Source organism: Homo sapiens, chromosome 9, assembly GCF_000001405.40.
Source record: "Homo sapiens chromosome 9, GRCh38.p14 Primary Assembly".
NCBI lineage: Eukaryota > Metazoa > Chordata > Mammalia > Primates > Hominidae > Homo > Homo sapiens.
In genome coordinates, this window is record NC_000009.12 from 93,121,064 (window position 1) to 93,148,372 (window position 27,309).

The 27,309-nt window shown below is 56.5% G+C and overlaps 1 protein-coding gene and 1 long non-coding RNA gene across 5 annotated transcripts, besides 15 other annotated features; one reads left to right on the plus strand and one right to left on the minus strand.

Annotated features, from left to right (window-relative positions):
- NINJ1 (ninjurin 1) lies at window positions 433-13,188 on the minus strand. Of its 2 annotated transcripts, XM_011518716.2 has the most exons (5): window positions 13,080-13,188; window positions 10,422-10,478; window positions 5,347-5,575; window positions 3,836-3,999; window positions 433-1,167 (listed from the first exon to the last, which is right to left on the minus strand). In XM_011518716.2, exons 3-4 carry the CDS (start codon window positions 5,498-5,500, stop codon window positions 3,845-3,847), a joined length of 309 nt encoding a protein of 102 aa, XP_011517018.1. In that variant the 5' UTR covers window positions 5,501-5,575; window positions 10,422-10,478; window positions 13,080-13,188; the 3' UTR covers window positions 433-1,167; window positions 3,836-3,844. The 2 variants fall into 2 exon arrangements, with proteins under 2 accessions (XP_011517018.1, NP_004139.2); NM_004148.4 differs by lacking the exon at window positions 10,422-10,478.
- Window positions 3,851-4,015: a silencer, noted in NCBI's record as "fragment chr9:95887196-95887360 (GRCh37/hg19 assembly coordinates)". NCBI's record gives its function as "represses an EF-1alpha promoter that drives an FKBP-Casp9 reporter gene in an ReSE screen in phorbol 12-myristate 13-acetate-treated (for megakaryocytic differentiation) K562 erythroleukemia cells {active_cell/tissue: K562(+PMA)}" and the evidence as "EXISTENCE:reporter gene assay evidence [ECO:0000049][PMID:32094911]".
- Window positions 5,620-6,271: an enhancer, noted in NCBI's record as "H3K27ac-H3K4me1 hESC enhancer chr9:95888965-95889616 (GRCh37/hg19 assembly coordinates)". NCBI's record gives its function as "activates a minimal SCP1, AML or CMV promoter by ChIP-STARR-seq in naive and primed H9 embryonic stem cells {active_cell/tissue: H9 hESC(naive and primed)}" and the evidence as "EXISTENCE:reporter gene assay evidence [ECO:0000049][PMID:30033119]".
- Window positions 7,029-7,088: an enhancer, noted in NCBI's record as "active region_28616". NCBI's record gives its function as "activates an Ori minimal core promoter by ATAC-STARR-seq in GM12878 lymphoblastoid cells {active_cell/tissue: GM12878}" and the evidence as "EXISTENCE:reporter gene assay evidence [ECO:0000049][PMID:35858748]".
- Window positions 9,715-10,313: an enhancer, noted in NCBI's record as "H3K4me1 hESC enhancer chr9:95893060-95893658 (GRCh37/hg19 assembly coordinates)". NCBI's record gives its function as "activates a minimal SCP1, AML or CMV promoter by ChIP-STARR-seq in primed H9 embryonic stem cells {active_cell/tissue: H9 hESC(primed)}" and the evidence as "EXISTENCE:reporter gene assay evidence [ECO:0000049][PMID:30033119]".
- Window positions 10,314-10,911: an enhancer, noted in NCBI's record as "H3K4me1 hESC enhancer chr9:95893659-95894256 (GRCh37/hg19 assembly coordinates)". NCBI's record gives its function as "activates a minimal SCP1, AML or CMV promoter by ChIP-STARR-seq in primed H9 embryonic stem cells {active_cell/tissue: H9 hESC(primed)}" and the evidence as "EXISTENCE:reporter gene assay evidence [ECO:0000049][PMID:30033119]".
- On the plus strand, window positions 11,949-27,306 carry LOC124902212 (uncharacterized). Of its 3 annotated transcripts, none has more exons than XR_007061665.1 (3): window positions 11,949-12,530; window positions 26,620-27,000; window positions 27,270-27,306. It is a non-coding gene; the product is annotated as an uncharacterized LOC124902212 (long non-coding RNA). The 3 variants fall into 3 exon arrangements; XR_007061666.1 differs by lacking the exon at window positions 27,270-27,306 and having other exon boundaries at window positions 26,620-26,653; window positions 26,781-27,063; XR_007061664.1 differs by lacking the exon at window positions 27,270-27,306 and having other exon boundaries at window positions 26,620-27,063.
- Window positions 12,393-12,442: an enhancer, noted in NCBI's record as "active region_28617". NCBI's record gives its function as "activates an Ori minimal core promoter by ATAC-STARR-seq in GM12878 lymphoblastoid cells {active_cell/tissue: GM12878}" and the evidence as "EXISTENCE:reporter gene assay evidence [ECO:0000049][PMID:35858748]".
- Window positions 12,733-12,982: a silencer, noted in NCBI's record as "silent region_20040". NCBI's record gives its function as "represses an Ori minimal core promoter by ATAC-STARR-seq in GM12878 lymphoblastoid cells {active_cell/tissue: GM12878}" and the evidence as "EXISTENCE:reporter gene assay evidence [ECO:0000049][PMID:35858748]".
- Window positions 13,153-13,382: a silencer, noted in NCBI's record as "silent region_20041". NCBI's record gives its function as "represses an Ori minimal core promoter by ATAC-STARR-seq in GM12878 lymphoblastoid cells {active_cell/tissue: GM12878}" and the evidence as "EXISTENCE:reporter gene assay evidence [ECO:0000049][PMID:35858748]".
- Window positions 13,883-13,932: a silencer, noted in NCBI's record as "silent region_20042". NCBI's record gives its function as "represses an Ori minimal core promoter by ATAC-STARR-seq in GM12878 lymphoblastoid cells {active_cell/tissue: GM12878}" and the evidence as "EXISTENCE:reporter gene assay evidence [ECO:0000049][PMID:35858748]".
- Window positions 13,883-14,498: a biological region, named in NCBI's record as "H3K27ac-H3K4me1 hESC enhancer GRCh37_chr9:95897247-95897843".
- Window positions 13,902-14,498: an enhancer, noted in NCBI's record as "H3K27ac-H3K4me1 hESC enhancer chr9:95897247-95897843 (GRCh37/hg19 assembly coordinates)". NCBI's record gives its function as "activates a minimal SCP1, AML or CMV promoter by ChIP-STARR-seq in naive H9 embryonic stem cells {active_cell/tissue: H9 hESC(naive)}" and the evidence as "EXISTENCE:reporter gene assay evidence [ECO:0000049][PMID:30033119]".
- Window positions 21,889-22,761: an enhancer, noted in NCBI's record as "H3K4me1 hESC enhancer chr9:95905234-95906106 (GRCh37/hg19 assembly coordinates)". NCBI's record gives its function as "activates a minimal SCP1, AML or CMV promoter by ChIP-STARR-seq in primed H9 embryonic stem cells {active_cell/tissue: H9 hESC(primed)}" and the evidence as "EXISTENCE:reporter gene assay evidence [ECO:0000049][PMID:30033119]".
- Window positions 22,762-23,634: an enhancer, noted in NCBI's record as "H3K4me1 hESC enhancer chr9:95906107-95906979 (GRCh37/hg19 assembly coordinates)". NCBI's record gives its function as "activates a minimal SCP1, AML or CMV promoter by ChIP-STARR-seq in naive H9 embryonic stem cells {active_cell/tissue: H9 hESC(naive)}" and the evidence as "EXISTENCE:reporter gene assay evidence [ECO:0000049][PMID:30033119]".
- Window positions 23,222-23,361: an enhancer, noted in NCBI's record as "active region_28618". NCBI's record gives its function as "activates an Ori minimal core promoter by ATAC-STARR-seq in GM12878 lymphoblastoid cells {active_cell/tissue: GM12878}" and the evidence as "EXISTENCE:reporter gene assay evidence [ECO:0000049][PMID:35858748]".
- Window positions 25,384-25,678: a silencer, noted in NCBI's record as "tiled region #13679; HepG2 Repressive non-DNase unmatched - State 23:Low". NCBI's record gives its function as "represses a minimal TATA promoter and a strong SV40 promoter by Sharpr-MPRA in HepG2 cells {active_cell/tissue: HepG2}" and the evidence as "EXISTENCE:reporter gene assay evidence [ECO:0000049][PMID:27701403]".
- Window positions 27,307-27,309: the final 3 nt, after the last annotated feature.

Here is a 27,309-nt window from a genome sequence, read left to right on the forward strand (position 1 = left end):
GCTCCCAGCTCCCCTGTGCCCAGAGAATGTCCCCGCTGACCACAGGCATCACTGGACACCACTGCGGGGAAGCAGCAACTTCAAACTTGGTAGAGGAGAGACTCAGGGGCAGCACCTCAAGGCCTGTCCACAGGCGGGGGCAGGAAAACAGTGCTGGAAACATGTGAGGGGGAAAACGACGCCGCTCCCCACCTGACCCTGCCTGGGTCAGAGGTCACTAGGGGCTGCTGATGCCAGTGACCTCAGACTTCCACCTCTGTGCCTCCAAACCTCACCCCAGGAGATGTCAGGAGCCAAAGAGCTCCCCAAGCCAAGATTCTGGAGAAGGCGGCCCTGGCCAGAACCGTGTGCTTCTGACGCCCCTGCAGGGCAGCTGGAAAGGGGACAGGGAAGCCAAGGCCGGTCCAGCCCCGGGAACAGGGAGATGGCATGTGGAGCCTGACAAAGAGCGTGGGCTTTATTGTTCATTCATGATTAGAAAAGTGGGTGCTGGGACCCCCGTGGAGGGGGTTGGGCTCTGCCCGGTCACTGCTGGTGCAGGGTATATACAAGGTCTACGGCCCTCACAGGCCTGACTGGCTCCCTCTTGATGGCCACCAAGCCCAGGCACTTAAGACCAGAGCCAGTGGCCATCCGTAGGGCCAAAGGCAGTTCTGGCTGTGCAGGGTCCCTGGGTTAGGAAGTGGACAGAGGCTGGGGTCACCAGGGCAACCCGGACAGGGCCCACGGGAGGCAGGGACGCTGGTGCTTTGGGAGAGGGAGAGACATCTCCTTGTCCTTCTGGAATGTCCTGAGACAGAGGCTGGCCCTGGTCACTCATCCAGCCCATCCACGGACCTGCTGTGTGTCCTTGAGTGGGTCGAGACCCTTCTCTGGGCACAGGTCTCTGCAGCTGTCCAGTTCTGACCCTCTGGGCTATTGTGGCCAGCCCCCATGTGCCAGGAGGGAGCTGCCTCCTGGGAACAGCTGCTGAGAGACAAGAGTGGCCTCCTGCGTGGTGCTTGGCCGCAGTCAGAGCAAGGGCTGGTCCGGGGACATGGTGCAGATGAGGCCAGCCTGGGCTCTGGCAGTCTGGGTAGTGCCATGTGCAGGGAGGTGGACACCTCACAGGTATGGCGACTCCTGGGGTCGGGCAGCTGAGTTGCAGGGCAGGCAACATCCAGGGTCCTGGAAAGGAGACAGAGGAGAGGCTCTGAGCCTGGAAGGAGGGAGAGGAGAGGCTCTGAGCCTGGAAGGAGGGAGAGGAGAGGGTCTGAGCCTGGAAGGAGGGAGAGGAGAGGGTCTGAGCCTGGAAGGAGGGAGAGGAGAGGGTCTGAGCCTGGAAGGAGGAAGAGGAGAGGGTCTGAGCCTGGGAAGGGGGGAGAGGAGAGGCTCTGAGCCTGGAAGGAGGGAGAGGAGAGGCTCTGAGCCTGGAAGGAGGGAGAGGAGAGGCTCTGAGCCAGGCTGTGACAAGCCCCGAGTGTCAGGGCCATTTGCACACCCGGACTCAGGAAGGAGAAGAGCCTGATTCTGACATGAGAGGTGTCAAAGTACTCCATGCCTCAGTTTCCCCTCTGAAAATGGAATGAATATAGCATGGCTGGGTTACTGCCAGGACTTAGAGGCCTGGCCCAGCATGGGGGGCTCGGGTTGGGCAGCTGTGACCATAGCCACCCACGAAGCCTGAGACCTCTCTGACTGCTCCACGCAGGACACACAGCAGCTTTGGCCTCCGAGCCTCTGAGGACAGCTTTAAGGTCCACTGCTGGGTCCCCACGTGGCCCACAGACGCAGCACCCTCTTCCCGGCAGGCAGATAACTCATGCTTGGGAGAGTTAGGGACTGCATTCAGCACACACAGCAGGTGATTAATAAATGGCCTGGCCACATGCCCAAGCCAGGGAGCAGCTGACATCTAGGTGTTCTGGAAGAGGACAACTTAACTACAAACTGGAGGCAGCATCTGGACAGTGACTCGGACCCCACATGGGGCCGCCCAGATCCAGGTCCTTTCAGGAGGGTGACTTCAGGCTCCACGGCCGGGACATTGGGGGCTGGCGTGATCCCACTGGGGGAATGGCCTTGGGTGTGGTAGGGGAGCTTGAGAGGCCATGGGCCACTACGAGCAGCGGTCACTCGTTGGCCCCCGTGTGGGGAGGGGTGAGGCCAGGTGGATGCAGGGTGCTCCCAACCCAGCTGCTGGCCCCAGCGCCCCACCTCATCCTCACTATGCCCTCTTGGGGAATTTTTTTTTTTTCCCGAGATGGAGTCTCATACTGTTGCCCAGGCTGGAGTGCAATGGCGTGATCTCAGTTCACTGCAATCTCCACCTTCCAGGTTCAAGCGATTCTCCTGCCTCACCCTCCTGAGTAGCTGGGATTACAGGCATGCGCCATCACGCCTGGCTAATTTTGTATTTTTAGCAGAGACACGGTATCTCCATGTTGGTCAGGCTGGTCTCAAGCTCCCGACCTCAGGTGATCCGCTTGCCTCAGCCACCCAAAGTGCTGGGATTACAGGTGTGAGCCACCGTGCCTGGCCTGGGGAAATTTTTATATATCCTTGACACACAGGCGCTCTGCCCCAAGAGCACTGCTCCTGTCTACTCTGCCATGGGCCACCACTGGTGGAGAGATGGCCACCTGCCAGGAGTGCCCACCCCTCCCTTAGCAACTCACCTCCACCTCTGCTACAAACCGGAGGGGTGACCCCTAGGCCTAAGGTCGCGGGGACTGTGGTGTGTGGCCCTGGCCTGGCTGCATGGACTGTAGTGTGTGCACCATGTGGCCCTGGCCATGGCTGCATCCCAGGCCTTCCTGTGGATCCTGCTCCCAGGCTGTGTCACTGGGCAGACGCTCACCCTCTCTGAGCAAGGACACAGGGAGAGGCTGTATGTGGTGTGAGAAGTCTTCCTACACTGGGTGCCTCGTCCTGTAGAGACAGCCTCAGTCTGCATCCTGCACACAGCCAGGGTCCAGCCTAAGGCAGGCAGCTAACAGATTCTGCGAGGCCCGGCAAGGGGCAGACTTGAAGAGTCACAAGGGCTCCACGTGACAAGATCCTGAATCCCACCGTCCTGGTCAGAGTGGCACAGTGAGGTGGGCATGTCAGGCAGGCGGTCATACCAAGGTCCCTTTTTCTCAGACGAGGGCTGGGAGGAAGCTTCACCTGCTAAGTGGAGCTGATAAGGGGTGCAGAGCCCCTGACTTATCAAGAGAAGCCGGAAATCTTTGGGTTTTGGGTGTTTTTTGAGACAGAGTCTCACTCTGTCGCTCAGGCTGGAGTGCAGTAGTACGATCTTAGCTCACTGCAACCTCTGCCTCCTGGGTTCAAGCGATTCTCCTGCCTCAGCCTCCTGAGTAGCTGGGACTACAGGGATGTGCCACCATGCCTGGCCACTTTTTGTATTTTTAGTAGAGACGGGGTTTCACCCTGTTGGCGAGGCTGGTCTCGAACTCCTGACCTCAAGTGATCTGCCCGCCTCAGCCTCCCAAAGTGCTGGGATTACCGGCATGAGCCACCGCGCCTGACCCAGAAATCTTTTTTTTTTTATCGGACAGACATTCTGAATGTATAGAAATCTTACGTTTAAGTGAGTTCTCCAGGATGTTCAAATGGTGGCTCCTACACACATTCCATCTAAACACTGTGACCACAGGACCCCAGGTGGCCAGCACCAGTGGCAGGGCTGGCCTCAAGGCAGTGGCCAGGCATTGGCCTTGTAGGTGTGGACGAGGATGCCCATGGCCTAGGAAGGTGTCCAAGGCTGGCCGGCCAGGGACTCACCACACTGCAAGAGCCTCCAACAGCGAGCAACCCCAGGACTGCAGGCCTCGCGCCCCATCTCCCAGCTCACCTGGGTGTCCTACTGCTGGGGTGCCATGTCCATCAAGGGCTTCTGGACCCCGAAGGCCGTGATGAAGATGTTGACTACCACGATGATGAACACCAGGCCCGTGGCCAGGTTGTTGAGGAAGTCCAGCTTGGCGTGCTTGGCCGGGTTGTTAAGGTCGTACTTGACTGTGGGCGAGAGAGGAGTGGATGGTGCCAAGGGCAGCCCAGACGCAGCGCCCCAGCCTGGGACAGTGGAAGGGGACCCACCCCAGCGGTCAAGCTGTCCTGGGACATTACAGGGCTCTCAGTCGCATTTAGGATGAGTTTTGTCGCCCAGAGAAAAATACATCTGTTTTGCTGAAACATGGACAACAGCGCCCCTGGCTTGGGCAACCCCACGGTCTATGACCCCACCTTCTGTAGCCCCCATATTTTCCTTATACGAATTGAAGCTATGGACGTCAACCAAAGGCCAGGTTTGGGCAAATGCACTGAGCCCTTTGCGTGCCTTAATCTAGTGATTCCTGCCACAAGCTGCAGTTCTATTATGATGCCTGTTTTATAAGTGAGGCCCGGGAGGTTCAGCCACTTGCCCAAGGTTACGCAGCCATGAAGGGGACCCTGGGCCCAGAAGGTAGGACTGGCATGACTGAGGCCATCTCATGGCATGGGTCAACAAGAACCCGGTGAAACACCTGCCCTAATGCCCACAGGCCAGGCCCTGACCCCACTCTGTGCTCTTTCAAAGTGCAGGGTGGGGCCAGGCACAGTGGTTCATACCTGTAATCCCAGCACTTTGGGAGGCCGAGACAGGAGGATCACGTGAGCCCAGGAGTTTGAGACCAGCCTGGGCAGCATAGCAAGACCCCGTGTCTACCAAAAATAAAAAAATTAGCTGGCATGATGGCATATAGCTGTGGTCCAGCCTACCTGGGAGGCTGAGGCAGAAGGCTCGCTTGAGCCTGGGAGGTTGAGACTGCAGTGAGCTGTGATCAAGACACAGCAAGACCCGGTTTCAAAAACAAAACAAAACAAAACAAAACAAGGCTGAGCGTGGTGACTCATGCCTGTAATCCCAGTATTTTGGGAGACTGAGGCTGTTGGATCACTTGAGCTCAAAAATTCGACTGGGCAACATGGCGTAACCTCATCTCTACAAAAAATACAAAAATTAGCCGGGCATGGTGATGAGCGCCTGTAATCCCAGTTACTTTGGGGGCTGAGGTGGGAGGATCGCTTGAGCCCAGGAGATGCAGCTTGCAGTGAGCCGAGACTGCGCCACTGCATTCCAGCCTGGGTGACAGAGGGGGACCTTGTTTCAAAAAACAAAACAAAACAAAACAAAAACCAAAGTGCAGGGTGGGGGGAGGGGGGGTGCCACTTCCTGGACTGCATGTCTGGGTGATGAGGGCCAGGAACTCGGCAGCTCCTTGAGAGCCAAGTGTGCAAGGTGGTGGGCACCTGTCCCAGGCGATGCGAGCAGATGCCAGCAAGGTGAGCAGGTGGCCTGGCTGCCCCCACCTGGGGACCTACCAAGGAAGATGAGCAGCACCCCCACGCCGATCTGCAGCACAAGGGAGATGGAGATGAGGACCACCAGGGGCACATAGAAGGCGAAGCTGGGGCCCTGTTCCACGACGGCCTTCAGCTGGGACGCGTTGGCCATCAGCAGCGCGATGTCCAGCATGCTCTCGGCTGCGCTCTTCTTGCTGGCGTAATGGTTCACGTTGATGGGCCCGTGCCTCCAGCCCCAGCGGGCCGGCTGCAGGGAGGGGAATGGTCAGCAAGGCGGGTGGGGGAGGGGGGCAAGGGCTGTGCCTGAGTCGGGCTCTGGGGGTCACCGGGCCCTGCAGGTGAGGGCTTCCCTTGCCCCCACCCCTGGTAAGTGCTCAGACAGAAGTGCTTATTACCCTAAGGAGAGGCTGCGAGCATGTGCTCAGCCTTTATAAAACCTCCCCTAGGAATACGGTCCTGGAGAGAAAGGAAACGACATAGCAACCTTAGCACACGCACTCTGATTTTCCACTGGAAAGCATTGCCCGATCCTCCCACTCCTGCCATAGGCGGGGCTGCTCCTCCCTGCCTGCCCCTACCGGTCTGTGCCCCCGGCCTCCTCTCCCCCTCCCCTCAGAGTCTGAGCTCCTGATGCCAGGAAAGGAAGTGACGTGTGGGCGGACAGATCTGTGCACACCGGCCCAGGCAAGAAGCAAGTCCTCCTGGGCCGGACCTAAGGGCAGAGATCGCCCCTGCCACCTCCCAACCTCCCAGCCTTGGGGCCCAACAGGCCACTCGCCTCCAGGCCTCAGCACAGGCCTTGCAGAACTATTCGGCCATTAGCAGCAAGACTTCACTGAGGTGGGCCACCCAGAGCCCGGCCCCGACACAGCAGAGGCTCAACAGATGCCTCAGCATACGACATACAGTGGAGCTTAGCTTCCACATTACTTCCCAGAGTAATAAAATGGGAATGCGAGTTCTGATGGAATCCTCTTTGCCTTAGGGGCCTATCTGGTCAGGGCCCCCTGCAGTTCTCTCGAAGCCCCCAATGCCTTTCCCTGGTGCCAGACACTCTCAAGCTCCAAGGCCCCACACAGAGGCCACTGCTTCCAGGAAGCCTCCCAGGACTTCCCCTGGCAGGACATGGCCCTCTCTCCTGCCACAGGAAGGTCCTCTCTAGGGCTGGCCCTTCATTCCAAGCTAAGTACCAAACTTCCTCTTTCTCTGGAGCAAGAGTCTGCCCCTCTCAAGCTGCCCTGGTGGGGCCCTCTTCAGTCACTCAGGACAAACCTGCCAGCCCCTTGGCCCGGCCCTTTGTCCACAGGCGCCCCTGAGTTGCCAGGCCCTAGACCACAGCCTCCCAGGACTGGTCACCTGCTTGGAGGCAGCTGTGAGAACCCACTGCTGGCAGCCAACCTCCTGGGGCCCTCTCTGGGAGATCCTGTTTCCAGACTCATGAAAGATGCAGGCCGGGAGGCCGGGGTGCCGCAGGGCCACAGGGAGGGGCGGACATGGTATCCATCCAGGCCTCGACTTTCTGCAGGCTGGAAAAATACACGAGGCAGCCAATACAGAACCAGCAGAGGGCAGGGGCCTTGCTTTCATGCTGCGTGTTTTTCAGTTTCATCTAAAATTATGTGCCCAGGAGGAAGAGAGTGGGCGTCAGGGGACACTGGTGGGCTCTGCTGCTTACACCTGGGCCTGGGAATTCCAACAACCTGCCTTCAGCATCAGCTGCTCTCTAAGTAGCAAGTTCACGTGGACACATGTGCGCACAGGGACAGCCGCCTTTACCTGGGCCACCCAGCAGCGCTGTCCCTGGGGCCCTGGTGTGCTCTCGGGTCACTCCATGCATACCCCGAAGCCTCTATGGGGTGTCTACTTTGCCTCTCCCACCCTGGGCCTGACGCTGCACTCCCTGGGATTCCCCCAGGCCCCAGCACAGCCAGGGCACTCACCAAGTGAGAGGCTGTGTTCCTCTCCCATTCTACAGACCAGCAGATTGCAGCTTGGAGGAGGTTTGCCCAGAGCCACCTCCCAGGACTGTGTGTCCCTGTCCCACCACTGTCCACTTAGGGGCTTCCTCCCAGGCTGCCCAGGGTCTGGGTGAGGACAGCCCGGACACAAGGGCCTGTGCCTGGCACTGAGGTCGTCTCCAGTTCTGCTCTTGCGAAGCTGCCCAGTGGGCCACACCCCATCACACGTGTGCTCCGCAAGGTGCAGTGTCCCAGGGGCTGCTGGCCACAGTGGGCATGTGCTCCTAAGTTTCACAAACCTCAAGTGCCAAAGTGCCTTCCTTCAAGGCCACCCTTATGCTCATTCGGGTCTCCATCCCAGGACTTGGTGCTGGGAGAAGGCCAAGTGCAGACCCCGTGAGGATTTCCACCTTCTGGGGGCATCTACACATATATGTGCGTGTTCCTAGTCACAAAAGCACAGAAACACACATCCCCCAGAAAGACACACATAGACGTGAGACACACATGTGCACACAATACGCACACACAAATACACATGCACATACATACATATGCACACGTACATAAACAGACACACAAGCCCAGGCTAACTGTGTTGGCCTCTGGGCAGGAGGAAGAATTCCCTTTTTTTCTGAGCTCTGCAGAACCATTTAAATATTTCACAGCCATGCAGTCACGAGGAACACTCAGATCCATTAAAAAGCACCATCCGCGCAGAGCCTCCAGCTCCCCAAGCCTCAGCTCTCAGCACCCCCAGCCACGAGGAGCCTGTGCCCCTGCTGTCCTCATGCCCACTTAAGGTGGGTAAACTGAAGCCCAGCAAAGGCGGTTCCTTACCCAAAGCCACATAGCAAGTGAGGGCTTGGCTAGGATTTGAACCCAGGCCCCGGGGCTCAGAAGCTCTGGTAGCTGATGCCATTGTCCCTTAGGGGCTGAACTCTCAATGGCTCCCTGCTTCAGGCTCCAGCTGTGTCCGGACAACTAGCCCCACTTTGTGCCTCAGTCTTCCATGTGTACCACGAGGCTGTGGAGCAGATGCCCCAGGATGGCCTCTGAGCCCCGAGTGGCCAGCAAATGCCCTGACCATGCACCCCTGCTGGTGAAGGGCACTTCCAGCCCATCCGGCCATCTGCTTCCTGTCCAACCTGCAGCTAGGGAAGCTTCTGCATGCAGGTCAAGCCCTGGCTCACCACAGCCCAGCCCGTGGCCCTGACGCAAGCTCCCCCTCCGTTGGCCTCAGTCTCCCCCTCCGTATATCTAGGGTTGCACCTGGGAAACTCCTGCTTACCAAGGGAGAGGCTGTGTTCCTCTCCCATTCTACAGACCAGCAGATTGCAGCTCAGAGGAGGTTTTCCCAGAGCCATCTCCCAGGACTGTGTGTCCCAAAGCATAGGGCTGCCCCAGGATACAGCATAGCTGGCAACCACCCCAGGCAGCAGGCCACATTGGGAGCATCATGTGGAGGGGAGGGCAGCAGGGACAGTCTGCTTCCCTGTCCCTAACCTTGGTACTCTGGGCCTTGGAGCCCTGAGCTGACCACCACACAGGAGGGTCCCAGGGAGGACGATCCCACTCTCCCCCAGTCCTGGGCACTTGCCTCTATCTTGGGATGGGCCTGAGGGTGGCCGGGGGACCCAGCTACCACAGGTGAGGGAGCCCTGTGGTCCTGACCAGCCAGCAGGAGCTGCCAGGAGCTAAGCCCTGCTGAGACCAGTGCCCATGGCTTGGGCAGGGCAGGGAATAAACACCCTGGTTAATAGATTCCCAGAACCTCAGCAGCACTCGGGGCCTGGGGCCAGGCCAGATATATTTCCTCTGAAAGCTAGGAGGGAGGCTTGGTGAGGAGGTCAGCTCTGTGTAGGGGCGTGGCTGGCTCCTCATGCAACCTTCTGTGGACGGTCGGCCTCCCCACTGCAGGCTGCACATGTTGGGGCTGGGCCACACGGTCGGTCCTAGGGCCACTTCAGTGAGCATCCTCAGCTCAGGCAGGAGGGGCTGGCACAGAAGTGGGATATGAACCAGGCTTGCTGCATCCACCGGCCTGGCTCTGGCCATAGCATAATGGGTGTTCTGGCTCACCCAGGGCTTGGATGGGAGGAGACAGGGTCGGGGCTGTGGGCCCACAAATGTGGTGATGCATATCAGTCGCCCTTTCCAGGGGCCTGTGAGGAGTAGGGCTGGAAGCTGCCACAGCACCTCCTTTACCCCCCGAGTCCTGCCTCAACACTGACCACTCTATGCCTCAGTTTCCTCATTTGTAAAATGGGTAGACAAGGATGTGGAGGGGACTGAATGGGGTGGTCTCAGATGCCCCGTGGCTGGTGGAGCGCATGGCAGTGGGTGGCAGGGCTGTTTTCCTTGATGCCTGGCTCTCACTGTTTTGAAAGACTCTGCCTCCCCGACCAACTCCACTGACTCAAAAGCAGCTGAACAGGCTCACAAAACAGTCACACAGCAAAGAAAGGACAGCCTGGGGCACAGGTTCTCCTGTGCTGAGCAGGACCCAGGGGGACAACAGGGACGAGGTGCCTGCCCTGGGTGCCTGGGGGGTCCCAGTCTACACCTTGGCTGCTCGCAGCCTGTCCTGCTCACTGGCCCTAACCCTTGGACTCAGCAGGCATTGGCAGATGGTGGGGCGACCTGAAAATCAGGCACCCCTCTTCTACCCCACCATATGCTAGGACCTGCCTGGGGCTTCCGGCATCCCTTGTCTGACCCACCAGTGTGGGCATGAGCTGCTGTGCCCATTCCCCAGATGCCACACAGACAGGCAGGGCCTGGCACTGGAGCCCTGCACCGTCTCCTACCGGCCAGCCCAGGAAGCAGGCCCTGAGAGGGTCTCCCAGCTCCATGTCTGTGTTCCTGGCAGGAAACCCCAGCAAGACAGCAGGAAGTGCTGGAAGGCGGGGTTCCCACCACAGCTGGGCCAGGCAGACCCACTTCCCGCGGACTCAGCACTGGCCACGAGTGGCCCTGAGACCATGTTAGGGTTGCCTTTTAGAACTTGGCCCAGACCCTGCCGGCCTCAGGATCTGCCAGGAAAGCGGAAATGAGGAAACGAGCAAACCTCCTCCTGGGCAGCTGAGGCCATGCACGGCCCAGACGGCAGGTATACAGGGCACAGCTACCTACCTCCAAGGACCATGCCTCTCGGCCCAGATGTGGCCCCAGGAACCTTCAACCTGCGGGCTGTGAGGGGCAGGAAGGTGTGGCTGGCACCAGATGGCCGTGTCCTAACCCCATCCCCACCACCTCCCTGCCTTGAGACACCCTGGGGATAACAGATTCAGGCCATTTTCACATTAACATTGTTGTTTACTATTCCTTCTGCTGACAGCCACAAGTGAGCTGACTCAATCCCTGGACACTGATGGGGGCCCTCACATGAAGGGCCACAGGGGCGCAGGGCACACGGGGTAGGGGAGACCTGAGAGCTTCCCACGGCCGTGGCCCAACAGAGCCCACCCAGGTTGGAGTTCCACGTGTGGCTCCTCCCTGAGCCTTGTCCACCCTGGGAGGTGAGCAGTTGTGCCCCATTTTACAGAAAAGGAAACTGAGACTCTCCATTTTACAGAAAAGGAAACTGAGGGAGCTGGGCAAAGCGCTGCCCTCTCCAAACCACTGCCAGGGGTCACCAGTGGGAGAGGGTCTCCGTGGCAGGCAGAAGGATGAGGGCGCTGAGTGCTGGCCTGGCTCTAAGCACTTCATATACATCAGCTACTGAGTCCTCACCACTCTCTATGGCAGGCACCGCGACCACACCCATTTCACAGATGAGAAACTGAGGCACAGAGTGCTGACATGATGTGCCCAAGAAACGGAGAAGCAAGGTCTTGAGGTTGGGAAGAGGAACAGGTGTGTTGGGTGGTCCTGGGCCCCCAGGCTGGGTGAGCAGAGCGGCCCTCGAAGTTTTCTACCCCTCAAGGGGAAATGTGCTCATCCTCACACTGGCTCATAGCCTTTCCACAGCTCCCTGGACACCAGACCGTGATCAGGCCTGCAAGGCCCCTCCCATCGGCCTGGCTTCCCATCCCCCCACCTCCTACCTGGCCCTCATGTGCTCTGTGGTCCAGCCTCTGAGCCTTTGCTCCCACTGTTCCCTCTGCCTAGATGCCCTTCCACACATCTCAGAGAGCCAGATCTGCTCACCCACCTTCCCTGCCCTCCAGGGCTCAGAGCCAATGTCCCCACCTCCACAGAAAGCCTTCCCTGACCACCATGCCCCGCCCCCCACGATGGGCTCCCAGCCCCCAGGGAACCCCCTGCTTTGCCCTGGCCTCTCCTGCCCTGTCTGGGCTGGGCTGCTCTCCAACCGCGGCTTGGTGGGGCGGGGCTGTGTCTCTCTCCCTCTGGTGCCCAGAGCCAAGACAGTGATCCGGGAACAAATCCAACCCAATCTCCTCTGGGCTTGAGATGCACCCATCTCAGGAGGCACAGCCTATCCTGCCGCCCGCAGAAGTGAGCAGAGACTGCTCTGAGTGGAGGGCATTGCCCGGGCAAGGTCAGGGTTGGGGGAGGAGCAGTATCCCTTCCTTTCCAAGGCGCTTCCAAGCCACTGACCTGTTTATTACCTGACTTGCTTTCCCCACTTCCCTGAAGGCAGGAGAGACCCTTTGTTCTCTCTTTATAAGACCATGTCTAAAAGGCCCAGCGAGGTGTGGCAACTTCCCAAGGACACACAGCCGGAGGAGCCCCCTGCCTATTGCTCCAAAGTGCTCACACACTGGGGCAGGGCCAGGTCGCTGGGGTCCCGCACACCGGTCAAGTCCTGCAGTGCGACAGCTCCTCTCTAACCTAGGAACAAGTGTCCATGCAGCCCCAGGGCCATCCTATCCCGTGGCTCATGGGGCCCCGCCTCCCCGAACATGTCCTGTCCCCACAGCACCGGCCTAGGACTGTTCACCAGCGAGTGGGCAGAGTGTCTTTGCCCCAGTCTGGTCCACGCCATGGAGAGGCCTGGAAAAACCCAACAGGCTGCTGTTCCCTGCCCCCATCCCTGAGGGGGTTAGAAAAGGAAAGAATGTTCAAAGTAAACAAGTCACCAGAGGGCCATGCCAGGACCTTGCAACAAACACAAGGTGCTCAGTAAGTGCTGAGTCCTGGGATGAAGAATTCTGAAGCGGGACCACTACCAGGGCCTGCCCCCTGCCCACAGCCCTCCCAGGCCGGGCAGGGCAAGTTCTGGAGGGCCGGTGGCGGCATACACTGAAGGCTGTGTGACGTTTCTATTTCTCAAGGCAGGTGAGTGGAATAGGGACCACAGCGGGCCCCAAGTTCCCCCATCAAGGCACGCATCAGATTGTGTGGTCAGCGTGGGGTGACGTAACTGTCTGCATGCAGCTGGTCTGGAGCCCGGAGGCTGTGACTCCCCTCCGCCCGCCTCCGGGCAAAGTGCGCGGAGGAGCCGGCACGGCGAGGCTGAAGTTAGAGAGGCCCGCGCGAGAGTGGGGGGGAGGTCGGGAAAGCCGGGCGCCGGCAGTCCTTAGCCCGAGGAGCTGCGCCGAGGCCCCCTCCGCCGTGCAGCCAAGCGCGGGCGCTGCTTAGTGGGGCTGGGGACGCCAGCCCGCCCTGCGCCCCCACGCCCCCTCGTCCCGCCCACTTGCCGGGGGTGGCTGGAGCTCCCGGGGGCATCGTTCTGACCCTGATGGGGCGGGAAGGACTTGGCCTAGAGCGGGACGTCCCCCAACACTCTGCAGTGCGGACGCGGCGCACACAGGTGCCCGGGGAGCCGCGGCGCCCCGAAAGGACAGGGCCTGGCAAGATCATGCAGCGGTGGGGGGAAGGTCTTACCGAGGCGTCCGGGGAGCCGGGTGTGCCCGGAGGCAGGCCGCCGTTGAGCTCGTACTCCTCGGTTCCCGAGTCCATGGTGCGGCCGCCCAGGCCGCCAGGATCCGGGCCTGAGCGCGCCCGAGCCTCAGCCGCAGGCTCCAGCTGCGCGCCCGCCCCCGGCCCGCCCCCGGCCCGCCCGGCGGCGAGCTGCTGCCCCAGACTCCGCCTCCACCCGGGGCGGGCCCGGGGCCTGGAGGCTGTACGCTGAGAGCGCGCAGTTTGGGGCGACCCCAACCCCTCGGGCCTGAGACGGTCCCGCGGGGCCCCACAAGGGAGGGGGCGCGACGCCGATGGCCCCAGAGGACCCTGCGCTGCGTCTTGCTCTGAACCTCCGTCGCGGACACTTTTAATCCACAAAATGAGGCCAAGAACGACCTTTCCCTGGCCACCAGGCAAACTGCATGAAAGCGAGCGGGCGTTGCCGCTGGCGCCCACGCTGGGTTTTTCCCAGGCGGGGTTCGCCCTGGGAACCGCAGATCGCTCCAGCACAGCGCCTGCTGCGCCCCTAGTAACAGCGTCAGAGAGTCCGGGGTTCCCCTGATTGCGGGCCACGCTGACACAGGGCTTCCCACTCCCTGACCTTAGGTTTTCCTGCCTGGGAAATGGGGGTTATGAGGGCACAGACTGCTGGAGGGGCTGGGGGAGGCACAAAGGGGATGAACGTGCGCTGACTCATGGGCCCATCTGTGCCACCTGTGGCAGGGGGTGGGCTGGGGGCAGCACAGTGCCCAGAGCCCTGGCCAGATGCTAGGCGGGCCCCCACCTGTTGTATGATTGAAGTGGTTGTTTGGTCTCTGTTTCTCCATATGTTCATTCCTCAGCACTTTGCCCATCTGGGGGCCTGGGGGTCGAGAGCATGTGGCGGCCACCCTGGGAGGCCAGGGGAGTTCATCCTGACCACAGCATAGTCAGCTTGCGGCAGTATGGCCACTCTATTTCCAGAAGGGCAGTGGAAGGAAGGCCAGCTCAGACCCCAGGCTCTGTCCAGTCAGGCTGCCACCGGGACAGGAGGTAGGAGTGAGTGGGCATGGGCAGGGCAGCAGGATTGCGCTTGCCCTGATCCTCCAAACGGGGTCATCCCATGAAGGAGGAGCTGTCGTGGGCCCACTTCACAGCAGAGAAACTGAGGCTCAGGCTGTCACTGCCCCAGCTCTGCCTCAGAGGGGATCTGCAGGACAGGGTCTGGCACGGTGGCCCACGACGGGGATGGTTGCTGTTGTCCTCGCATAATCAGGGCACTGTTGGCACACCTGAGTGTTCACCAGCAGCTGGAAATCCAGCACCATTCACACAAAAAACTCTCTCACAGTATGGGACAAATCCCTATTCTGGGGGATAGTGCCTGCCCACGAGGGCTCAATTCCTGGAGGGGCAGGAGGTGTGGGACCACAGAGAAAATACGTCACACCCAGAAAGGGCCCTGGGAGCTGCAGGGGAGCCCTGAGACCTTGGAAGGCCAAGGGCGTGTAGAGAGGCCCCGAAGTAGGAGGGCTTGGCAGGTGGAGACCCCGTCCTGAGAGTATTCTTTCCTTTGTGCCATGTGGGAGCTCCTGCAGTGTGGTTCATCATTCCCATCCTTTTTTTTTTTTTTTTTTGAGATGGAGTCTTGCTCTGTCGCCCATGCTAGAGTGTAGTGGTGCGATCTTGGCTCACTGCAAGCTCCACCTCCCGGGTTCACACCGTTCTCCTGCCTCAGCCTCCTGAGTAGCTGGGACTACAGGTGTGCGCCACCACGCCCGGCTAATTTTTGTATTTTTGGTAGAGACAGAATTTCACCATGTTGGCCAGATCACCTCCTGACCTCAGGTGATCTGCCCGCCTCAGCCTCCTAAAGTGCTAGGATTACAGGCATGAGCCACTGCGCCTGGCCCCATTCCCACCTTCTAAGAGGAAGCCGGGAGGGTCGCAGCACCAGTGACAGTTGGGACATCAGCCTCGGGGTTTGTAAACCTGCTCTGTGCTGGCCGTCTGAGACCCTCTCCCAGCCTCAGTTTCCTCAGCTCCTGGGGCTGCTGGCAGGACGTGTGGGTGTCAGGGCTCAGGCAGGCTGCAGCGCTGGAGTTCCCTCGTCTGCTCCGTCATCCTCATTTGAGTATGTAGTGTCTGTTTTCCCCACTGTGCTCAATGCTGTTTACCCAACTGTTCTCTGCTGGATCCAACCCAGGACAAGTCTTAAAGGCACAGTGTACCCCGTGTCACCTCCATCTACCTTTTTTTTTTCTTTTTTTTGAGATGGAGTCTCGTTCTATTGCTCAGGCTGGAGTGCAGTGGCGCGATTTTGGCTCACTGCAAGCTCCGCCTCCCAGGTTCAAGCGATTCTCCTGCCTCAGGCTCTCGAGTAGCTGGGACTACAGGCGCCCGCCACCACGCCTGGCTAATTTTTTGTATTTTTAGTAGAGACGGGGTTTCACCATGTTAGCCAGGATGGTCTCGATCTCCTGACCTTGTGATCTGCCTACCTCAGCCTCCCAAAGTGAAAGGATTACAGGCGTGAGCCACTGCACCGGGCCCAACCACCTACTTTCAAGTTCTCCTGGAGACCATGAGTGCATGAGCTGTCCAAGACCAGTTTCTAGACGCTGACCCTGAGCTGAGGGACATGTCCCCAGGAGAGACACAGAGGAGGGGTGTGGCTGGGAGGAACGGGCTGGCAGATGCCCCAGCAGAGCAGCCCTATGTGTGGGTGGGTGTGCACACACAAACACTGTATATGTACGAGGGCCCCAGGCCTCTGTGGAGGAGCCCACAGGGTATCTCAGGATGCCTCTCTGGTGCCCAGGGAGGCTTGGTGCATCCCTCTCCCCCATCAAAGACTCTAGTGGATTCTTCTGGGGCTGGCGTTGTGTTGAGTTCAGATCTGCCCCTTCTGGCTTGGGATGTGCTTCCTCATATGTAAAGTGGGTATAAGGCAAGATGGCATGTGAGGACCATGGAGGTGTCACCCCAGCGTGCTCCTCACAGTGCCACCTCAAGCAGGTGGCTCCATCCCGCTGACCAAGAATGAGACCCCAGTGGGGCAGAGAACAGGCACACCGGAGGCTTGGACCTTCTACTCACCCACTGTCCTAGGAGCTGGGACTAAGCACGGTCTAAGCGACCCCCACCGCGTACTATGGGGAGTACAGTTGTGTCTCTCAGACCTGGGGGAACATGCGGTGAAAGCACCAAGCTGTTGAAAGGTCCATGGGTCAGATGGACCATGTTTTCACCTACAGAAAGCCTTCAGAAGCAGCCAGTCCCTGGCCTCCTCCACCTCGGAGAGGCTTGCAGGCAGGTATGCCGTTTCCACATCACCAAGGGAGAAAGCGAGTCTGGCAAGGTGGCGCAGCATGCCCGAGGTGACCCAGCTCTGCATGCCCACCTGCCCGCCTGCACATGCTCTTGCTAACATGAGCGGGAGGAGGACGGGGCTGGCAGTCGGCCCAGGGCAATGGCAACTCCCTGGAAGCCTGTGGTATTGCCAGCACCAGGCGTGGCCCATCCATTCCCCACCCACCTGAAGGAGCTGTTACCTGGCATCAGGGTGGGCCCAGGAGTCTGCATTTCTATCAGGCGGTCCCCAGGGACCACAGCTCTCACTGGGTCAGTGTACAGAGCAGGGAGGTAAGGGAGGCGGGTGTGTAGCGTGGCCACCCCATTTCCAGAAGGACAGAGGAAGGAAGCCCAGGCCTGTGAGGAGGTGCCATGCCATCATCCCCACACTAAAGATGGGATGGCAGAGGCTCAGAGAGCCGAGGGACTTGCCAAGGTCACCAGGCAGGGCTCAGTGGGAGGGGAGGCACAGCCAGGTCAAGGATGATAAGGGGCGAGGTGATGGGAGATGAGCACCACGCAGGTATGAGAGCCTCTCATGCTGTCCACCACAGAGAAGCAATGTGTCCAGGCTGCACAGCGAGGCACAGCTGGCCCTAGAAGGCCACAGAACAACAGAAACAAAGTGGACGTCCACCACAAGGGAGTGGCTAAGTGGATTATGGCCATCTGCATTCGGGAGTGGGATGCCATCGTCTACAGAGCAAGCGAGGCCAGGCCAGCGGATGTGGAGGGGTCCAGCTGCACTGCGGGCAGAGAACAGGCAGGAGCAGGAGGCTGGCCCCTGCTTCCTCTGCTGCACCCTGACACACTGCTCTGTTCCTTCCTGTTTGTGCATCCGTCTCTCCCACTGGGGCTCCCAGGGGCCAGGCTGGGGCTGATGCCACTTTGCATTTATGGACATCTGTGCCTAGCAAAGCTCTTGTCCCCAGCTGCCACAGCAAAGTGGCAGAGAGAGTAGTCATCCCCCACTATCTGTTCTCTTCTTCCTGCTCAGTCACAGGCTGCTGACTTTGAGCTGCACCAGTGGCTTCCCAGAATCAGAGCTGCATTTCTCTCTCCCCTGCAGCTAGAGGTACCCTTATGGCTACATTCTGGCAATGAAAATGTTGTGTGCAACATCAGGGAAGGAACCCTAAACAGAAGGGGTGTGCCATTCTTTATTACTTCCTCTATCTTGCTGGCTGGAAAGTGGATGTAATGGCTGGAGCTCCAACAGCCGTATTGGACCGTGAGGAGACCTTGGCCATGGGAGCCTCAAATAGTGGAGCTGAAGACAGAAGCAACCTGCATCCACAATGCCTGCAGCACAGGCCTCCCTGGGCTGCCCACCTCCAGACTTCTTAGGTGTGAGTAAGGAAAAACAAACAAACAAACAAAAAAACAACTATCCTGTTCAGAGGCTGCTATAATTTAGTTTTTTACTTTTTTTTTTTTTTTTGAGACAGAGTCTCACTCTGTCGCCCAGGCTGGAGTGCAGTGGCGTGATCTCGGCTCACTGCAAGCTCCGCCTCCTGGGTTCACGCCATTCTCCTGCCTCAGCCTCCCAAGTAGCTGGGACTACAGGTGCCCACCACCTCGCCCAGCTAATTTTTTGTATTTTTAGTAGAGACGGGGTTTCACCATGTTAGCCAGGATGGTCTTGATCTTCTGACCTTGTGATCCGCCCGCCTTGGCCTCCCAAAGTACTAGGATTACAGGCGTGAGCCACCGCGCCCGGCCAATTTAGTTTTTTTCTAATAGAGCTGATGTCAATTCTACTTTGGAAAAGTGAGTTAGATTATGTCACTGAACAGCTTAAATCTCCCTGAAGACTCCCCGTGACCATCCTCACTCCTGGCCCCTGCATACCTGAGCCCCCACATCGCCCCACTCCTTGCCCTCCCCTCACCCACTCCATGCTGGCCATCCCCTTCTTTTGTTCTGTCGACTTTTCTCTACCTCAGGGTCTTTGTCCTCCCCATTTCCTCCACCTGAATATCCTGCACCAGATAGCCACATGACTGGCTCCTTCCCATCGTCACCTGAGTGCAGACCACGTGTCTGCACTGGGTCAGTGCCAGTGTTTGTGTGAGTGTTGTCTGCCCTTCTCCCCAAAAGGCCAGCATCTCAGTGGCGGTGGACCCAGAGGGAGGGAAATCTACCTCAAAGCCCCCAGGTGCTGCTGACTGTCTGCCCACCACCCAGGTGGTTGCCCGGGGCATGGCCTGGCCACGTTCTCTTTGCCAGCCTCCAGACGCAGTTCCCAGGCGTCCTTCTGTCCAGCCTGCTCGGCCTAGCCCATGCCCAGCAAACCACTAATGACAGGGGCCACCCAGGCTTCTTATTCTTGGTCCTGACATCAACCGCTGACTCAGGCCACAAAGCCATGGGGCCAGAGAGGGTGGGAGCAAGGATGGGCCTCTGGCGGGGCAGGTGGTCTGTGGTTTGGCGAACAGACATCCACCTGCGAGTCAGATTCAGCCTGGGTGCCTCCCCCTTCCTCTCCCAAGATCCCAGGCCGAGCTCCCAGCGCAGCCTCATCTGCTGGCCTTGGCCCATCCAGGGAGCCAGCTGGGCTGAAGGCCCAACCCTGGGGCTACAATTAGGTAACATCTCCTTAGTCAACTGGGTCTCAAAGCTCAGTACCTGGCCCAGGGCTCAGTGCACAGCCATTAACGGGCCAGTGTGAGCTTGCATCAGATGGTGGTGGGGCTTGTGCACCCAGCCAGCAGGCCCTGTCTCTCCTGCCTCCTCTGCCCGGGACCAAAGTCCTCCTTCTCCAAGTCTGGGGCACCTCCTCCAAGAAACCCCCAGATGCCCCTGAAGGCATCCTCTCTGCACAAACATGCCTCCTCACTAGGTCCACTGGGGCCCACAGGCTTCCCCTTCCCACCCTCAGCCCCCTCGATGGAACCCAGGAAGTTCAGAGGGCTGAACGGGAGCTGTTTCCCTCTGTTAGCACCTGACAGCCTCGAAGACATTTTCCCACCCATCCCAGGCTGTTGGGGTGTCCAGAGCTATGAGTTATGGCTGTTTTCCTAAAAAATTTGAGGGCCGGGCACGGTGGCTCATGCCTGTAATCCCAGCACTTTGGGAGGCCGAGGTAGGCGAATCACTTGAGGTCAGGAGTTGGAGACCAGCCTGGCCAACATGGCGAAACCCTGTCTCTACTAAAAATACAAAAACTAGCTAGGCATAGTGGCTGGTGCCTGTAATTCCAGCTACTTGGGAGGCTGAGGCAGGATAATCGCCTGAACCCGGGAGGCAGAGGTTGCAGTGAGGCAAGATCGTGCCACTACACGCCAGCCTGGGCAACAGAGTGAGACTCCATCTCAAAAAAAATTTTTTTTTTGAAAACGTGGTGACACCACCACCACTGAGAGGCTGAGTATGGAATTGTTACCAAAACACCAGAGTTCTGTCTAGGTCCTGCTTCTCACCGCATACAAAGCTAGTCACTGAGACAAGCATTGCCAAGGAAGAAGCTTTAATCAGGTGCTGCAGCTGAGGAGACCGGAGCTCAGTCTCAAGTCCATCTCCCTGACTGACTAGAACTAGGGGTTTATAGAGCAGGGAAAAAAAGTAACAATGTGTAAGAAAACAGGAACTAGAGAGGGGCAAGAAAGGGTCATGGTGAATCAGGGGTCAGCCATCTCATTGTCTGGTTGCGGTGATTTATTCAAAAAAATAAAAAGAAGGTGGGGGCAGTGGCTCACACCTGTAATCCCAGCACTTTGGGAGGCCGAGGCAGGTGGATCACTTGAGGTCAGGAGTTCGAGACCAGCCTGGAGAACACGGTGAAACCCCATCTCTACTAAAAAAATTAAAATAGGTCAGGGTGTGGTGGCTCATGCCTGTAATCTCAGCACTTTAGGAAGCCAAGGCGGGCAGATTACCTGAGGTCAGGAATTTGAGACCAGCCTGACCAACATGGTAAAACCCATCTCTACTAAAAATACAAAATTAGCCGGGCGTGTTGGTGCATGTCTGTAATCCCAGCTACTCAGGAGGCTGGGGTAGGAGAATCGCTTGAACCTGGAGGTTGAGGTTGCAGTGAGCTGAGATTGTGCCATTGCACTCCAGCCTGGGCAACGAGAGTGAAACTCCATCTCAAAAAAAAAAAAAAAAAAAAAAATTAGCTGGGCGTGGTGGCGGGCGCTGGTAGTCCCAGCTACTTGGGAGGCTGAGGCAGTAAAATTGTTTGAACCTGGGAGGCAGAGGTTGCAGTGGGCCAAGAACTCACCATTGCACTCCAGCCTGGATGACAGAGGAAGACTCCATCTCAAGAAAAAAAAATATATATGTATAGAAAAGAAAAGAAAGACTGTCTATGGGACTATTGGTTGGATTTCAACAGCAGTCACTGCTGAGCACACTGTAGCCCAGGTGGGGTGTGCATGATCTCATTATGGTGTTGTTGTGTCCTTTCTACAGACGGGGAAACTGGGGCTCTGAGAGCTGAGATTCAAACCCAGATTGCCTGAGTCCACACTGCACCCTCTGCCTACTGTGGCTGGGTGCCAGGAGCTACCTCGCAGCCAAGCCAAAGCCCTTTCCTGTCCTGCCTAGGGAATCTCAGCCCACCTCAGGCCCAAGGCTACCCGTAGCTTCCTTGGGGGAGACCTCTGTGAATGTCACAAGAGCCTGCAGTGGGGTGGGGGCTTCAGGCTCAGGCTGTGGAAGCCTCCTGTCCCCACTCCCTCCCTGTCCTGTGGCAGGGAGGGGACAGGGGTCAGCCTGCGACTTCTGAGCATGAGCTCACACCAGTAGAACACCATCACTCCCGGCCTAGAGGGAGTTGTCTGGTCCTGTTTCTGGTTGGGCCTGCGGTTTTCAAACTTGGACATGCATCAGAACTCTGTGAGAACACAGCTCACTGGGACCAGCCCAGAGGGGCTGATGCTGCTGGCCCAGGAACCCTACTCCAAGCCACCGGGCACAGCTGTCCCTGCAAGTTCTGAGGCAGGGATGTGGGCCAAGCTGAGGATTGACGCAGGGGCACAGGTAGGGGAGAGCCTGCTTCTGAGAAGCTGCCCCCTGTAAGTCTGGGGCCCAGTGCCTCCCACAAGCCCTCCCACTGTCCCTCAGCATGAGGCAGGTGTCCCTCCACTGTGGAAAAGTCAGGAGTCATCAGTGTGGCATGTTGGAAACAAACATACTATAAACATACCATTTTTAGTTATTTTCCTTGCATAAATCCGTGAAGGGACGAGGCCTAAAGAGGACTCCGTCCCAAGCCCGAGAGAGTCAGCCCACATGTTTTCATGCTGGTTGGGATCATTGTGTTCAGGCTGGGGATGTCCTCACTGGGTCAAGTAGAGGGTTGGTGAGCACATTCAGGCCAGCAGGTAAGCGAGTGTCGCCTTCATTTTGGTCAAGGATATGTCATCAGGGGCCAGGTGTGGTGGCTCACACCTGTAATCCCAGCACTTTGGGAGGCCAAGGCAGGCGGATCACTTGAGGTCAGGAGTTCGAGACCAGCCTGGCCAACATGACAACACCCCATGTCTACTGAAAATACAAAAATTAGCTAGCGTGGTGGTGCATGCCTGTAATCCCAGCTACTCGGGAGGCTGAGGCACGAGAATTGCCTGAACCAGGGGTTGGAGGTTGCAGCGGGTGGAAATTTTGCCACTGCACTCCAGCCTGGGTGACAGAGTGAGACCCTGTCTCAAAGAAAAAAAAAAAAAGATACATCATCTGGGACAATAACCTTGAAAAGCAGGGGTCCCAGACGACCTTATTTGCAGAGAATGCGACTGCAGACGGCAAGCAGGGGGGCATGCCCTTCGCTCTCTGTCCTCTGCTCTTTGCCCCGGCCACTGTCGGCCTCATCTGAAGGCCACCTGTGCCTCACGGTCTGAAAACGCTGGTTTCCACAGCTGCTTCTCCTTCCAAATTTCCCTGGAGTCTTGCTTTGGTGGCGAACCTCTGGTTCTATTCCTTCCTTTTAACTGAAGCCTATAGGAAAAATTTGGAAGTTGAAATATGCCAGTCCAAGGAAGGTGGACGTGGAGTTCTGAGGGTGGGGGTGCTGCCAGGGAAGTGGCACTGTGCAGGGGACCGCCCCTGGGACCCCCTGGTTCCTGTCAAGAGCAGGTAGGGGCTGGGCGCGGTGGCTCACGCCTATAATCCCAGCACTTTGGGAGGTCAAGGAGAGTGGATCACCTAAGGTCAGGAGTTCAAGACCAGCTGACCAACATGGTGAAACCCCGTCTCTACTAAAAATACAAAAATTAGCTGGGCGTGGTGGCAGGCGCCTATAATCCCAGGTATTCAGGAGGCTGAGGCAGGAGAATAGCTTGAACCCAGGAGGCAGAGGTTGCAGTGAGCTGAGATCGCACCACTGCACTCCAGCCTGGGCGACAGAGCGAGACTCTGTCTACACACACACACACACACACACAGACACACACACACACACAGATCAGGTAGGATGTGAGGTGTGTCCTCATGGCCGGACATGGGGTGGGTGGGGCCAAACAACCACAGGGACTCGTCCTGTGGCCACTGCTGCTCAGGAAGTGGATCCCAAGGAGCAGAGTCGCCAGACCCCTCAGTTCCCAGCTCCACATTTAAGGCAGGTCTGGCCATGAGCCAGGCCTCTGCATGTGACCTGGGGCCTCACTGTGGCATGGCTGCCTGTCCCACCTGTGGATGTTGCCTGTGCTGTGTAGAAGCCACATAGCCTCCGGGGCGGCTCCCCAGAATGCCACATTTCCTGTCTCTGGCTCTGATGGCGTCTAGGCTGGCAGGGGTCCCGGCCCCAGCAGTACTGTTGCCGGGCAGAGCTCAGGGCCACGTGCAGTTGGGTCTGGCTGAGAGCATCTCATGGGTTTATGAGAACCCTTCCAGCACAAAGGGGCATTTATCAGGCAGGGATGGCATGTCTTGGTCTGAACACAGGAAACACAGAAATAGCCTTTCACAGAGTGCCAGCAGGGCTGGGCTCGCCTGCTGTGGAGGGTGTCGGCTTTCCAACTCCTTCTCCAAGCTGTGCGACCCGTCCATGTTCCCCTGTGAGTTGTTCTGTCCCAGACAGGGCATTCCCTGAGAACGCTCCTGCTGCAACTGGAGGGAGAGAGGCAGGGAGGGGAAAGGGGAAGACTTGCAGGGAGAAGGAAGAAGGGAGACAGATGGAGACAGACAGAAGGAGGGATGGAAGAAATGAGAGAGAGAGAGGGAGGGAGATGGAAACATAGATTGTCTCCACTGTGACACCCTGCCTCCATGGTTCTCCATGATGGGAATGGAATTCATGTCTCACCTGGCAGCAAGGGTCTCCACAATATGACTTCACCTTCTTTCTCTTAGTAAGGCGAGAGCAGACAGGCAGACACTCCAGGAAGTAACTGATGTGTCCCTGAAAATGCCTGTCTTTCCCAGCTTGTACAACTTTGCTTGTGTTATTTCTTCTGCCTATAATGACTCTCAAAATATCCAGATTGCAAAAGAATTAAGCCCCTTTTGATACCTATAAATAATTTCTATCATTGTAATATACTAAAAACCAATGATAGTAAGGTTTTGGAGAGGTAAAAAGCAGTCTCGTTGCCAGTACAGAGATTGAAGATTCAAAGGCTTCACTAATTAGGATGTGTTTTTCTCTCACATGAAAAAAGCCTGGATATAGGCAATCTAAGGCCAGCATGGTACCCCCGTAATTTTTTTTTTTTTGAGATGGAGTTTCACTCAGGCTGGAGTGCAATGGTGCAATCTCAGCTCACTGCAACCTCTGCCCCCGGGTTCAAGTGATTCTCCTTTCTCAGCCTCCCAGGTAGTTGGGATTACAGGTGCCTGCTGCCCCACCCAGCTATTTTTTTTTTTTTTGTATTTTTAGTAAAGACAGGTTTCCATCATGTTGGCCAGGTTGGTCTCGACCTCCTGACCTCAAGTGATCCAGCCACCTTGGCCTCCCATAGTGCTGGGATTACAGGCCTGAGCCACCGTGCCTGGCCTGTTTCTTTTTTTTTTTTTTTTTTTGAGACGGAGTCTCACTCTGTCGCCCAGTCTGGAGTGCAGTGGTGTGATCTTGGCTCACTGTAAGCTCCGCCTTCCGGGTTCACACCATTCTCCTGCCTCAGCCTCCTGAGTAGCTGGGACTACAGGTGCCCGCCACCACACCCAGCTAATTTTTTGTATTTTTTAGTAGAGAACGGGGTTTCACCGTATTAGCCAGAATGGTCTCGATCCCCTGACCTCATGATCCACCCGCCTCGACCTCCCAAAGTGCTGGGATTACAGGCGTGAGCCACCATGCCCAGCCGTGTGGCCTGTTTCTTTTGTTTCTGTTTTTGTGTTTTGAGACAGAGTCTTGCTCTGTCTCCCAGGCTGGAGTGCAGTGGGGCAATCTCGGCTCACTGCAACCTCTGCCTCCTGGGTTCAAGCAATTCTCTTGCTTCAGCCTCCTGAGTAGCTGGGATTACAGGTGCCCACTACCATGCCTGGCTAATTTTTGTATTTTTAGTAGACGGGGTTTCACCCTGTGGGTGAGGCTGGTCTCGAACTCCTGACCTCAAGTGATTTGCCCTCCTTGGCCACCCAAAGTGCTGGGATTACAGGCGTGAGCCACCATGCTTGGCCCCCATAATGTTACTGGGGATCTTTCTTTTCTGCTTTGCAAAGTGTATAAATTCCATCCTCAAAGTAGCCTCATGGTCCATGAGGGCTGCTGGCTAGCCAACCATCACAGCAGGAAGCAGATGTTGGGAGCACAGCAGGGCTCATTTCCAGTTGTCCCCTCTTATGGAGCTTTCCAGATGACCCACTCAATTAATTCTTCTTACATTTCATTGCTACCACTATTTACAAGGTAGGCTAGGTACAGTGTCCCTCAGAATAAAATCAGAGCTCATTTCCTGCGGAACACAGCTGGGTTATCTGCATTGTCTGCCTCAGGCCAGCACCTGTAAATACAGCTGGTGGAGAGGGGCAGTGGCTGATTCTTCTGGGTGGCAAATTTTAAAATATATGCCAAGAGTGATTCAAATATTCATTTCCTCTCATGTAGTCTCAAGTGTGTGACTTTATGTTTGGGAAACCCAAAGAAAGGTGGAGAAGCACATGCATGAAGATATCCATTGCCCCCTGATTGTTAAGCATGACAAGTCAGAAACAACTGAAATTTCCAACAGTGGGAAAAACACAAGCATGCTATGTTCTGAAATTCACTTGGTGGAATGTTCCGTCAGTCACTGTGATATGGTTTGGCTGTGTCCCCACCCAAATCTCATCTTGAATTGTAGCTCCCATAATTCCCTTGTGTTGTGGGAGGGACCCAGTGGGAGATAAATGAATCATGGGGGCGGTTTCCCCCATACTGTTCTCGTGGTAGTGAATAAGGATCATGAGATCTGATGGTTTAATATGGGGAAACCCCTGTCTCTTCGCTGTCATTCTTCTCATGTCTGCCACCATGTGAGACGTGCCTTTCGCCTTCCATCATGATTGTGAGGCCTCCCCAGCCACATGGAACTGTGAGTCGGTTAAATCTCTTTCTTTTGTAAATTGCCCAGTCTCCAGTATGTCTTTATAGCAGCATGAAAACTGACTAATACACACTACACACTGTAAATGTTAGTCATGGAGGATGTGTACCAACATGGAAGAGTGTTTACAATGTATCTTTAGAGAAAAGATGGACTATCCAAGTATGCATACTGGAATTATCATTAGATTACCATACATCTGGGTGAGGAGCAGAACAGAGACATAAGGTGAGTTTGTGGGCAAGGTTTTCTTTTTAAACTTCCCAAAAGCTTGCTTTACATACATGTAGGCTTAAATAATTTTTTTTTGAGAGATAGTTTCACTCTTATTGCCCAGGCTGGAGTGCAGTGGCACAATCTCAGCTCACTGCAACCTCCGCCTCCCGGGTTCAAGTGATTCTCCTGCCTCAGCCTCCTGAATAGCTGGGATTACAGGCACCCGCCTCCAAGCCCAGCTAACTTTTTGTATTTTTAATAGAGATGGGGTTTCATCATGTTGGCCAGGCTGGTCTTGAACATCTGACCTCAAGTGATCCACCTGCCTCGGCCTCCCAAAGTGCTGGGATTACAGACATGAGCCACCATGCCCAGCCAAATAACATTTTTCTTATTTTAAAAAGTAAGTTCATTGTAAAAAGTTTAGAAAACAAAGGTAAGAAAAAAAATAATTCTGTTGCCCAGAAATAAAAACTGTCCATGTTTTGATATTGTATCCTCAGTAACAGCAACCGTGAACCTCAGAGGCAGCCAAGGGTGAGTATTTATGTCTTGCTCTTGCACCTGTGGGTTGGTTGGCATTTGGCTGATCTTGGTGGACTTGGTCCCAACTGTGGCCTTGCTCTGTGTGTCTCTCATTCTCCTGGGCCCACCTGGTTCTCAGGAAATGTTCCTCCCATATGGAAAGTCAGAAGCTGCCAGAGAGGCAAGTGGAGCATGCAAGACAACTGATGGCATAGTCTCAGAACTGACCATGAATACTGCTCTCCACTTTCCATTGACCAAAGCAAGTCCAACGTTGTGGGAAAGGGTCCCTCACCCACAGTGGGAGGTGAGGGGTGTGGACACTTGCCACTTGCTGATTGATGACCAAAATATCCCAGGTATATACCCTTTCACACTTTTCCTATGCTTTTTTAAATAAAGACACTCTTTACCAATCAGAATCACTCTACATATTGTTTTGCCACTCAGTTATATGTATGACTACATCTTTTTATGTCATAAAAATTCTTCTGCAACATGTGACTGCTTGCAATTCTATTTTGTGGTCATATCATGATTTATTCAACCTGATGGACATTTATCTTTTCCTTTATTTATTTATTTATTTAGTTATTTACTAAGATGGATTTTCCCTCTTGTCACCCAGGCTGGAGTGCAATGGCACCATCGCGGCTCACTGCAACCTC

Coding starts and splice junctions, on each gene's coding strand:
- NINJ1 (NM_004148.4), bottom strand. CDS start 13,154: ATGGACTCGGGAACCGAGGAGTACGAGCTCAACGGCGGCCTGCCTCCG. Junction 5,576..13,079: donor CCGGCTCCCCGGACGCCTCG/GTAAGACCTTCC, acceptor CCCTCCCTGCAG/CCGGCCCGCTGGGGCTGGAG. Junction 4,000..5,346: donor GGTGCTGCTCATCTTCCTTG/GTAGGTCCCCAG, acceptor TCTCGCCCACAG/TCAAGTACGACCTTAACAAC.